Below are 12,122 nucleotides of genomic sequence, written 5' to 3'. Positions count from 1 at the left end.
TGTTTCTGTCTATGCATTTTGCAATACCTGCCAGTTAGCTCTAAAACAGTCCCAAGATGGATCTGAGCCCTTGCGGTATCTTGGCACCTTTTATGTAAAGTGAAAATATTGGAATGTCTATCTCACAGGATATGAGGATAAAATAAAATGATAAAATAAAAGCTCTTAAAAGGTGACTGACGCATAATAAATATTAGATATTTTTATTATCATGATGCAAAATCCATTCGTGTTATCTCCAAGTCCACCATCCACACATTATAAGAATAGGGCAAAAGTTATACAGTAACAAATACAGAGAAGGCAAAGGATATCTTACCTAATTTTCCTAACAAGAGGGTGTGAAGATGTCGTGACATCACCATGGATGCAGAATGGCCTTATCTTCACATGGGAAAGTCCCAGTTGTTAGAAAAGGTGCTGTTCATCATAAAAGTTTTAAGGGGAAATGAAAAGGTGGTGAGTGCAAACAAAAGCTTGGGGCAGAGTTGGGGCATCTACTTCAGTGGAACATAACTCATTGTTAGTTTTTTAGCATAGTTTATGGGTCTTTCCTGTATGATAAAAAAGTCCAGGCAAGAAGTGACTGGTGACCACATACAATAATGAATTTGAAAATATTAAAATTGTAATTTTTAAATTGTAATCTTGTCTCTGCAATATATGCTGAGTGTTACCACACAGTTATTATTTTACAGATGAGGAAAGTGAGGCTCAGAGAAGCTAAACCCCTTACTTACTCAAAATCACACAGACAGCAATAGTCAAGAGTGGAATCCCAACTAAGCTCTGGCAGACTGAATCCTAAACTTTCCGTACACCGAAGAGCCACACGTACTGCTGGCTTCCTTCCCTGACTTCATTATTTTGCCTAACATCAATAGCATGAACCATTTATTCATGATTGCCCTCGGTGAAGCCATTTTCTCATTCGTTTAGGGGAAGACATTGTTTTCTTTATTAATGAGAAGAGAAAACGGTTAACAAGAGTTTGTGTCCCTAATTGAAATGATTCTTAAGATGAAAAGATAGAAAAACATGAAACCCTGCTTAAAACAAAAGGCTAAAATCAGAATTTATGGAGATGGATCAATCCAACAGTAAAGAAATCAATTTTTCCTTCCTTGTCGTTACTTATATTCATCTATCCTTTATTTGGCATTAATACTGTCAGGCCTGACAAAAACAACAATTTACATATTAATAAAATCTAGAATTGTGCTGTGCAACGCAGTAGCCACTAGCCACATGTGGCTCTTGAGCCCTTGAAATGTGCCAATCCCGACTAAGATGTGCCATAAGTGTAAAATATACACTGGATTTCAACTAGTATCTAAAAAACAGAGAAAATATTTAATATTTTAAATCGCATGTTAAAAAACCATTTTGAACATAATGGATTAAATAAATTTAAATTAATTTCACCTGGTTTTTGTTTTGTTTTGTTTTGTTTTTTGAGACAGAGTTTGGCTCTTGTTGCCCAGGCTGGAGTGCAACGGTACGATCTCGGCTCACTGCAACCTCTGCCTCCTGCGTTCAAGCGATTCTCCTGCCTCAGCCTCCAGAATAGCTAGGATTACAGGCATGTGCCACCACGCCCGGCTAACTTTGTATTTTTAGTAGAGACGGGGTTTCTCCATGTTGGTCTGGCTGGTCTCGAACTCCCGACCTCAGGTGATCCGCCCCCCTCGGCCTCCCAAAGTGCTGGGATTACAGGCGTGAGCCACTGCGCCTGGCCACACCTGTTTCTTTTCACTCATTTAATGTGGCTTCTCCAAAATGTAAAATTACATAAGTGGCTTGCATTTGTGGCTCGCATTATATTTTCATTGGACAGCACTGATGCAAGATGAAAAAGAGGGCAGAGTTACACTGAAAGGTAGCACATTTTCTTGAAATTTCTGGAGGGGAAGGTTAACGGGAAGAGAACGAAGCTTGTTAAACGTAGGTGTGACCTACTGTGGTAAACACCTAGGGTGAATTAAAGAGGGGACACATATTTTGATTCCGTTTCTACTCCCTTCCCCCGATGCTAACGGAGCAGGTGACAGTCTCCCAGGGACCACTCCTCAGCAGTCCGCGGGTCTCGGCCGGAGCCGAGTCATTGAACACACCTGTGCGCCAGCGAACCCTGGCGCAGGGTCCACGCCCCCTCCCCCCGTGTTTTTATTTCCCGGGCGTCAACTGTCGGTCTCGCACGTCTCTCCTGAGAACTACCGAGTAGGTCGGGCCTGCCTGTGGTAAGCGTCCCCCTCACCCCTCATCCCTCATCCCCCCCAGCCTGGCCCCGGAACCGAGATGCCCCTGCCCGAGCCTGGCTGCGGGCCGGCAGGTGGCCAAGACGCCACTCGGCGGGCGGCCTGCTGGGCCCGGCGGCCGGCCAGCCGCGAACTGGAGGATCCTCGCGGGCGCGTCCCGGGCCTCCGGGCCGCAGGGGGCCGCTGTGACCCGCCTGCGCCCCTGCCGCGCCGAAGGCGGGGAGCCGGGTTTTGGGGGAGAACTGGAAAGCCGAGGGTAGCCGAGCGGGGCGGGCGCTCTGGAGCGGCGGGTGCTCGGGCTGCCGTCCGCTCCGCCAGAAGCACCGAGCAGCCGAGCCGGGGCCCGCCGCCCTCCTCCTCCATGAGGCCCGAGTGAGGCGCGGCGGCTATAGCCGACCCGCGGCGCCTTCCCCCCGCGTCCTATCGCGAGCGCAGCGGCAGCGGCCCCTGGAGGAGGAGGCGGAGGAGGAGGAGCATGTCGGACGGTTTCGATCGGGCCCCAGGTGCTGGTCGGGGCCGGAGCCGGGGCCTGGGCCGCGGAGGGGGCGGGCCTGAGGGCGGCGGTTTCCCGAACGGAGCGGGGCCTGCTGAGCGGGCGCGGCACCAGCCGCCGCAACCCAAAGCCCCGGGCTTCCTGCAGCCACCGCCGCTGCGCCAGCCCAGGACGACCCCGCCGCCAGGGGCCCAGTGCGAGGTCCCCGCCAGCCCCCAGCGGCCTTCCCGGCCCGGGGCGCTCCCAGGTACGGAGCAGCTCTAAGGGCCCCAGTCCTCCTTGGCGAACGCTTCCCCACGGCCCTCCACGCGTGCCGAGGCCCGACGCGCTGTCTGCGGTCCCCACCCCCGGTTCCCCGAAAGCATTCCCCGAGAGGGCCGCGTGACCGGGTAGGGACGGGCCCGGAACCGGGTTTGGAAGGTGTCTGCTGGAATCCTTTGTGCGCCTGGCTGGGGGGAGGGGCCGGGTGCGCGGTCTCGGAGTTCGGGGTCCCGGGAGGAAGTAAAAATCGCCTCCCCTCAGCAGCCCTCTAAAGCGAGACCCTAGCGAGTAACCACCTCTTTTCCACCGACCCCTTTAAAACGACAGAGAGGAAAAAAGCTCGCAAGCACTCATTTGAGAGGCAGGTATGCCCATAACGGAGTCACAGCAAGTCTATTGTTCCTTTTTGTAGGCTGTCTGTACACATTCCGGCGATAACCATAAATTTCATGATGGTTCCTGTTTAACTCTTAAAAACAGACGCTTTTCAGATGGTTTTTCAGTATATAGCAAGTTGCTGTACAAAGGAAAGAATGCATCTGACGCCCCGTTTTTTTTTCTTTTGCAGAGCAAACGAGGCCCCTGAGAGCTCCACCTAGTTCACAGGATAAAATCCCACAGCAGAACTCGGAGTCAGCAATGGCTAAGCCCCAGGTGGTTGTAGCTCCTGTATTAATGTCTAAGCTGTCTGTGAATGCCCCTGAATTTTACCCTTCAGGTTATTCTTCCAGTTACACAGTAAGTACACCCTTTTTCCTACAACTCTGGGTTAATTTACTGGAATAATGTGGTTGTTACTTTGTTAATCAGAGTATGTTTGTGCTTTCTGTACTACACGTAAAAAAATTTTTTTATTGTGAATGTTTTGAATTATTGAACTCAGAAGGAAACAAAGCTGATTCAGAAATACATTTTGTAGTTATATTCAAGGTATTAGAATGTAAGCTTGAGATACACATCTGTGTTCTTGTTTCTAGTGATTATTCCATTATGTTAAAATAGACATAGTTTTGATCCTAATTATTGTATGCAGAAATGTCCTACGGGGTTGTGATAAAGTATTTACATAGGTATAAAGAATGTTTAAACTTTCAGTTTTTCTTTGTCACTTATATAACAACTTTAAAAAATAGTCACTTTTCTTAAATAGCCGTACAAAGCACAGTTGGAATATGTAGAAAGGAATTTGTTGTACTGGATAAACCCAGATGAGTAAATGCATAGGGATTAATTATAGAGAAGTGGGAGGGAATCATTGGAGAAATGATTGATGATACTTTAGCTTAAATCCTGTCTTTCCTATCTTCTTAGTTTTATTGAAGTATAGCAGAGAATAGTGTACTTAAGTGTTAGCTCAGTCTCATAAAGTGAACACTCAACTAACCAGCATCCCAGTCAGGAAATAGAACATTATCAACATCCCGAAAACCCACTCTGTCTCCTTCCAGTTGTTCTTGATGTCCAAGTATAGCACTGTTTTGACTTCATAGGATAGTTTTGCCTGTGTTCAAAGTTTATATAAATAAAGTCATATAGAATATATTCTTTCTCACTTTCAATATCAAGATTACTCCATATTGTAGCATATAATTGGAGGTGACTTATTTTTATAACATTCCATTGCATGAATATATCCCATTTGTCTGTTGATGAACGTTGGTAGCTTTCACTCTTGGGTTATTATGAATAGGGCACATTTTGTGTCTTGCTGGCTGTATGCCTTTATTTCTTTTTGGTATATTACCAAGGTATGGAGTTGCTGGGACTTAGGGTAGCCAGCTTTAGCAGAGACTGCCAAGTAGTTTTCCAGAGATTGTTCCACTGTACATTCTGAGTAGTGTATGATTTCCAGTTACTCTGCTTCCTGGTCGGCACTTGGTATTTTCTGTTTAACCATTCTGGTGGGCATATAGTATCTAGTTGTGGTTTTAATTTATATTTCCCTTATAACTGATAATGACACACCTTTTTTATTACCTCTTTTTGGCTCTCCTTCCATATTTGACAGTAAAAGTATGGAAAAAGCTGTGTTCCATGTTTTAGATACTCCATGATTCTTATGCTGTATAGGAAAAAGCTTTGGGATTGGAAAGAAAAAGATACAGGCATAGCAGGAAAAGCAATTGATATGGGGTGAAAAAGGCCATCTATCGTGTAAGGTAGAAATGAGAGCATCTTGAGTTCTTGCCAGAAAATTGTATTTAGCTCACAGAGGAAAAGAACCATTAGAGCCACTGTAAGAGGTTGAATAAACTCTTAAGGATGCTTGTTCTAGCAGCTACAAGCAGGTTCCCATTTATTTTCTTCCCTATTGACTTGGGCTGTTTTATGATGGAGGGATACAGGGGTGTGTTTGTGTATGTAATAATCGTGTATCAACTATTTTTACGTGGTTCAAGTGACTTTGGGGCTGTCGAGCAGTATATAAAGTCATGTTAGTCCACCTACTTTGAGCCACTGCATCTTTTAGGCATTCCTTGCCATCCTCTAATAGATCAGCACCTCCTGTGCTCAATTTACCAAAACAGATTGCAGCCTGGCACCTGGAAACCTGTGTGGCCTGCAGGTGTCTTCTCTAGCCCTGAATGGGTTTGTTTTTTCTTTAAGTTGTTTTATTTAATTAACCAATACCTAAATTAGATATTAGAAACTTGAATGTTCTGGTTTGTCATAAAATCTGGCCTTAGTGGACTGGCATTTTGATACAGCAAAAATTGGTTGGAGCTGAGTAGAGGCATTCTCTTTAGATGGAGTCTGTGAGCTCTAATTTGCTTTCTGGCTTATTTCATTCATTTGTAATCTACCTGAATTCTACAGGCATTCAGGCTTACTACCCCTGTTCTGGTATATTCTCTAGCCTTACTGGTTTACCCTAATCTTTACCCATAGTTAAGGCTAAGAGAGTTTTTCTCAATCCAATTAGTCATAGAACAGCAGGATCCTTTTTTCCCCCGACTCTTAGGATAAGCTCTTGTTGCAAAGGAAACATTTCCTTTTAGTAGCCATAATCCAAAGTTAGCTACATTCACTCATTCAACAAATAGTCAAGTACTTATCATGAGTCAAGCACCGGTGATACAGCAACAAACAAAATGGACAGAAATTCCTGTCTTCATGGAGTCTCTATTCTAGTAGTCTCCTGGCTCAGTTTGCAGACATTTATTGAATCTGCTTTTGTTCTACACATGAAAATCTATTTCCTGGTATCCTTTTTCTAACAGCCTTTATGGTAGTCTTCTGCTGTGCTTTCTTAACTCTTTCAAGGCACCAAGCCCTTTTATCTTCAGTTCTTCCTCTAATCCTGCTGCTAGAATTTCCTACTTTCCATGTCTTCTTACCAGTGAGTTGCTATATCCATTTATCCCTGGCCATTATTTCTTCTCAGACAAACCATTATGCCTTGAATATTTGTCACAGTTCACTTACCAGAGCCAAAAATTTAACATAGGAATTCATAAAGCATTGATGAAGAGACAGAAGTCCCCTTCCTCCCCTGCAAAAAAACGAGCTTTTTTTCTAAGAGAATCCCTCTTCAAGTTACTTCCCAGTTTTTGTTCTGCCTTGCAGTAGTATCATTCTCCAATAGGTAAAATTATTCACTGTCTCTCACTGTTCAGACCTCTGCAGTCTGATCTCCCTAATTGTATTGATACTATTTTTGTGACTGATGTTCTTCCGATTTTTAAATTTATCTTCCTAAATCTCATTTTAAAACTTTGAGCACTGTAGGATCTATTCAGTTTATAAATCCCCATGTGCCAGGTCCTGTGCTAGGTGCAAAGGTACCTTTTTAGTCTATCAGAAGCTCCCTCCCATTGTTTTAAGAACTAAGTATTTGAGGTACTAGTTTTGTTCTTTTTTCTCTCTGAGTATAATCTCCTTCACTCCCGAGACTCTGCAATGATAATTCTCTTCCAGATTTCAACCTATGAATTTATTCTGTAGCATTTGTTGTTATGAGCATCTCTTCTCCCCTACCTCTTTGGCTTCTGTGGCAGTACTTTATCCTCCCAACTTGCAGATCATTCCTTTTCCCCTCAGATGACAGTTGGTGACGTTCTTTCTTCCATTTTATTACCTCCTTTGCTAATCCCGCCTATTCCATAGAATCTATCACTTATTTATGTGCTAATAACCCTGACATCTAATTATTCCTTTGAACTCTAGTGAACTCTAGGCATACATTTTCATTTATTTGACCACTTCTTGAGGACCTCACATTCAAATGCAAGTATAAAATCTATACACAGTGTAAGAATTATTTATCTCATGCGAATCTCTTCTAACTAGCTGCTTACACTAAGAACTTGGTGGCATATTGACTCACCTCTCCTGCACACCCTTGCCTTAATTCAATCCAGCTAGCTAAAGTAGTCGTGACTATATTCACTCTCTGTAGTGTCTGATCAGTTTTCTTTTATTCCCACGGTTCTGTAATAGGTTCTCATCTCTTGACAATGTATATAGAGTACCTACCATGAAAAAGTACATTTTCTATTTCTCCCAATCTCCCATAGAATTCTAAGAAAAATAAAACTTGAAAATATCTCTGTTTGGAAGCCATTTGACTCCACATTGAAGACTGAAGAAATTTGTGGCTTTAAAAAATCTGGTGCTAGAGAAGTAATGCAGGCTTTGATTCAAACACGTTGGAGTGCCTGTCTGTTCCAAATACTCTATGCCTCCTTTTTTTGCTTAAAATGGCAGGCTCTGGATCCTCTGTTCTGCTATATTCAGAGCAGTTCTACTTTCTTCTTTTACTGATCAGATTTTACATTTTCTTAAAAGAGAGTTCTGTTGACTTTAAAAAAAAAAAAAAAAAGATTGCAAATCAGCGCTCTAAGCAGCATTTTTGCCACGAAGAATGACATTTGATGGAAACAGGAAATTAGTACTTTCAGCTGGGACCCGTACCTTTGCCTTTCTGCTGTTCCTTGTCATTAATAGTGGTAGGATACTACAAGTCTGTAAAACTAGTAACTGTATATCAAAAACTTAAGACTAGTTTTTAGTTATAAAATTCACGCATGTATGTAGTTAACATTAAGTATATGAATGTGTACAATTATGCCTAACTGCTTTCACAACTTTATAATGTCAATATTTATAATGGGAACATTTTCTCACTCTAGAGGTAAGTACTGTTGTCTCTTGTTTTCTTAAATGGCTATAATATTCCATTATACAGATATATGATAATGTATTTAACCAATTCCTTGTTAATGGATTGTTACGTGGATTTTTTGGCAATGAACATCTTTGTACATAAAATTGGGTTTTAAGCTTTTGTCCTTTATTTTGAGTTTCACAGAGAGGTTAAAAATATAGGCTTTGTTCTGCGCTCAGTTCTTCTAATCAGTTTTGTGACCATGCACAGTCACTTAAGTTGGTGCATGGTCCTTCCTTGTTCAAACCCTCTTTCCCCCATCCTGTTTTTCCTACTTCCTTAAGAGCCAGTTTCCTTAATTTGGCCCCCAAAGCCCTCTAAGATCTCCTTATCTGCCTCATTGACCTCATTAGTTACCACCCATCCTCAGTTTCTGTATTCTAGTTATTGTCTTTTTCAAAGTTATTAGGCCTCCTTGGGGCCTGTGTGCTTCTTGTGCCCATAGAAAGAGAATATCTTTCCTTAGATATTTGTATGGCTGGATCTTTTTTTCTTTCTTAGTTTATATATTAACTCTAAGAATCTCTACTTGGCTTTTTGCTTTTTTTTTTTTTTTTTTTTTTGTAGTATATTTCAACTTCTGAATGTGTCTTCCATCATGGGGTATGAGCTCCATGAGAGGAGAGCCTTGTCTGCTTTATTCATGGCAGATATTCATGTCATGGCAGTATCCCATCCCCTAAGACAGTCTTTGGCACTTAGTAGGTACTCAGCAGCCACACCATTTTGAATGAATAACCAAAGTGACTTAACTACTCTGTGCCTGTTTCTTCTATGCAGGGAGGATAGTGATGCTTACCTCAAAATGTTCTAGGTTAAACAAGATGCAGGCAAAGCCCTTATGGTGTCTATCACATATCATATATGCAGCTGGTGGCTATTAGCTTATTAACTGGAGTACCATCCTAGGTGCCAAGAAATACAGCTTTTTATCATTCATTTTGGATGCTTTTTATACTTTAGTCCCTTTATGTATGAATACATGGCTGTTGCATTTGGAATATGACTCAGTATTCTCCTAGAAATTTAAAATGTAATTCATTTGTTGAACATTCTGTGCTTTACTATGTGCTCTTCACCAATCTAGGTGAATTTGATTAATTCACTTAATCCTCAGAGTCACAGTGATAATATTTATGATTAGTAAATAAATGCATCAACATTAATACCTCCTATTATAGTAGAATGTTTAACTTGAATTCAAATGCGTGACAAAAATCTAATGTATTAGAGTTTATCCTTCTATTCAATGAACACTATATGTGAATGAAAAAGGCACATGAATCTGCTATTTCTGCAGCTGGTTTTACTTCCTGACTGCCTCTCATAGTACATGCAACTTTTGCTAAGTATCACTTCAGTCTCTGAAGATACATAGGCCGGGCATGGTGGCTCTCGCCTGTAATCCCAGCGCTTTGGGAGGCCGAGTTGGGTGGATCATTTGAGGTCAGGAGTTTGAGACCATCCTGATCAACATGGTGAAACCCCATCTCCTCTAAAAATACAAAAAAAATTAGCTGGGCCTGGTGGTACATGCCTGTAGTCCCAGCTACTCTGGGAGGCTGAGGCAGGAGAATTGCTTGAACCTGGGAGGCAGAGGTTGCAGTGAGCCAAGATCTTGCCACTGTACTCCAGCCTGGGTGACAGAGCGAGACTCCATCTCAAAAATAAAAATAAAAAATAAAGATAAAATAAAAAGTGTAAAACATGACCTCCAAATGATGGTTATTTGAAGTGGTAGCACTATAGTGGTCCATTTTCATGCTGCTGACAAAGACATACCCGAGACTGGGAAGAAAAAGAGATTTAATTGGACTTACAGTTCCACAAGGCTGGGAAAGCCTCAGAATCATGGCGGGAGGTGAAAGGCACATCTTACGTGGCCGCAGCAAGAGAAAAATGAGGAAGAAGCAAAAGCGGAAACCCCTGATAAACCCATCAGATCTCGTGAGACGTATTCACTATGACAAGAATAGCACCGGAAAGACTGGCCCCATTGATTCAGTTACCTCCCTCCTGGGTCCCTCCCACAACACATGGGAATTCTGGGAGATACAATTCAAGTTGAGATTTAGGTGGGGACACAGCCAAACCATATCAAGCACCAACAGTAAAGGGACAAGTGGACAATTGGCAATGTTGGTCTTTCTCCTAAGACTGTGTCCTGGGCCAGGCGCAGTGGCCTGTAATCCCAGCACTTTGGGAGGCCAAGGTGGGGGAATCACCTGAAGTCAGAGTTTGAGACCAGCCTGGCCAACATGGTGAAACCCTGTCTCTACTAAAAATACAAAAATTAGCCAGGCATGGTGGTGCATGCCTGTAATCCCAGCTACTTGAGAGGCTGAGGTACAGGAATAGCTTGAACCCGGGAGGCGGAGGTTGCAGTGAGCCAAGATTGCACCACTGCACTCCAGCCTGGGCGACAGAACAAGACTGTCTCAAAGAAAAAAAAAGACTGTCTTTCTCCAACATGGAGCATTTCTAAGGGTGTTTTGACCATGTATGACTTTTTTTTTCTTCTATGCACTCACTGACTTTAGAACTTAACCCCTTCACAAAATGCTTCTGTTTTGTAGTCATAACTTTTTTATGTGGCTTTTCATTTACTCTGTTTGGAGAAGGTTAAATTTCATACAAGCAGTGTAGTTATTATTAGATTTTAACTGTTTGGTAAACTTTAAAGCGCTTCGGGTGGTATTCCAGGCATTGAGATGTGAAAGTTGTTGCTCAAGTCTATTATCTTTTGTAAAACTCGCCCACTCAGCCTTCTGCCATTAATGAAAAGGTTGGAAACTGCCAAAGGTGACAGTGGTGGAAACAACATTAGCTGGAAACTACTGCTGCTATCAAGGTTGTGTTAGCAACCTGGATGTAGCAGCCAAAAGGTCTCCTTCCATTTATACCGTGATGAAATTTTAGTTACTCGAGCAGCTTTATGCATTTCTTTGCCCTTGGGGATTAACAGATGATAAACCTTATTAGGTTTTTGTTTTTGTTTTTTTTTTCCCCAATAAAAAAGTTGTCAACATTTGCAGAAATACAGAGAATGGTATAATGAATCCTCATGGCCTCAACAGTAAGCTACATGTGGCCGTTCTTGTTTTTATATCCCTAGTCCATACTTCCCCTCCCACTTTGAAGCAAATCCTAGATCTTATTTCATTCGTAAGTGGATCAGATTCTTAATTTTTATATTGGCATTGTAGTGAAATATTGGTTTAAACTTTATTCCTCAGCCATCTTAGAAGTTGACCCAGAATGAGAAGACAATTCCCTGTTTAGCTGAACAGAACCTTTCTGCTGTTAATTATAACACTTCAGCTTTTAGGCAAGGAAGAAAAATAGCTCAATTGACAATTTTATTGATGAACATAAATTTTTATCATGTGAGGGATCTTTAAAAAAGCATTTGTGCTAGAGACATACCACCTTGTGTGTTTTAGCCAGTTGCATAGATTAAAATTGTTTTTTCATTTTTGATCCGTAGGAATCCTATGAGGATGGTTGTGAGGATTATCCTACTCTATCAGAATATGTTCAGGATTTTTTGAATCATCTTACAGAGCAGCCTGGCAGTTTTGAAACTGAAATTGAACAGTTTGCAGAGACCCTGAATGGTTGTGTTACAACAGATGATGCTTTGCAAGAACTTGTGGAACTCATCTATCAACAGGTATGTTGGCTTATAGCATGCAGTGACCTTCAGATAGCTTCCTTGAAGCCCAAGGATAGTGGCTACTCCTTGAGGGAGACCAGATTCATGATCACCTGCCTCCACACTTACTCTTTATAGTTTCCGGGAGTTCTAAGTCTGTCTTGTATAAAACTCCTATAGTTAGGGATCCAAGGGTAGAGCCAGACAGGATTGCAAGTTCACATGTGTAGTCAAGATTCAATATAGGTAATATTCACCTGTTTAGCCAAAGCTCTATACAAGCAGTAT

General features: G+C 42.1%; 1 protein-coding gene across 3 annotated transcripts in view, besides 1 other annotated feature; it reads left to right on the top strand.

The window, feature by feature from the left end:
* Nucleotides 2,169–12,122, top strand: part of PAIP1 (poly(A) binding protein interacting protein 1) — a 31,145-nt gene continuing 21,191 nt past the window's right edge. The window contains exons 1-3 of one of the 3 annotated variants that reach the window (NM_183323.3): nucleotides 2,169–2,240; nucleotides 3,581–3,750; nucleotides 11,667–11,852. In NM_183323.3, the coding sequence (NP_899152.1) occupies nucleotides 3,652–3,750; nucleotides 11,667–11,852 (285 nt within the window). In that variant the 5' untranslated portion in view covers nucleotides 2,169–2,240; nucleotides 3,581–3,651. Of the gene's footprint in view, nucleotides 2,241–2,502; nucleotides 2,999–3,580; nucleotides 3,751–11,666; nucleotides 11,853–12,122 lie in introns of those variants that run through there. The other 2 variants (NM_182789.4, NM_006451.5) reach the window with 2 other exon arrangements.
* Nucleotides 2,208–3,067: a silencer, noted in NCBI's record as "silent region_15995". NCBI's record gives its function as "represses an Ori minimal core promoter by ATAC-STARR-seq in GM12878 lymphoblastoid cells {active_cell/tissue: GM12878}" and the evidence as "EXISTENCE:reporter gene assay evidence [ECO:0000049][PMID:35858748]".

This window comes from Homo sapiens, chromosome 5 (assembly GCF_000001405.40).
Source record: "Homo sapiens chromosome 5, GRCh38.p14 Primary Assembly".
Lineage (NCBI taxonomy): Eukaryota > Metazoa > Chordata > Mammalia > Primates > Hominidae > Homo > Homo sapiens.
Note: the sequence above shows the minus strand (reverse complement) of the source record. Positions and strands in the feature narration are given on the sequence as shown.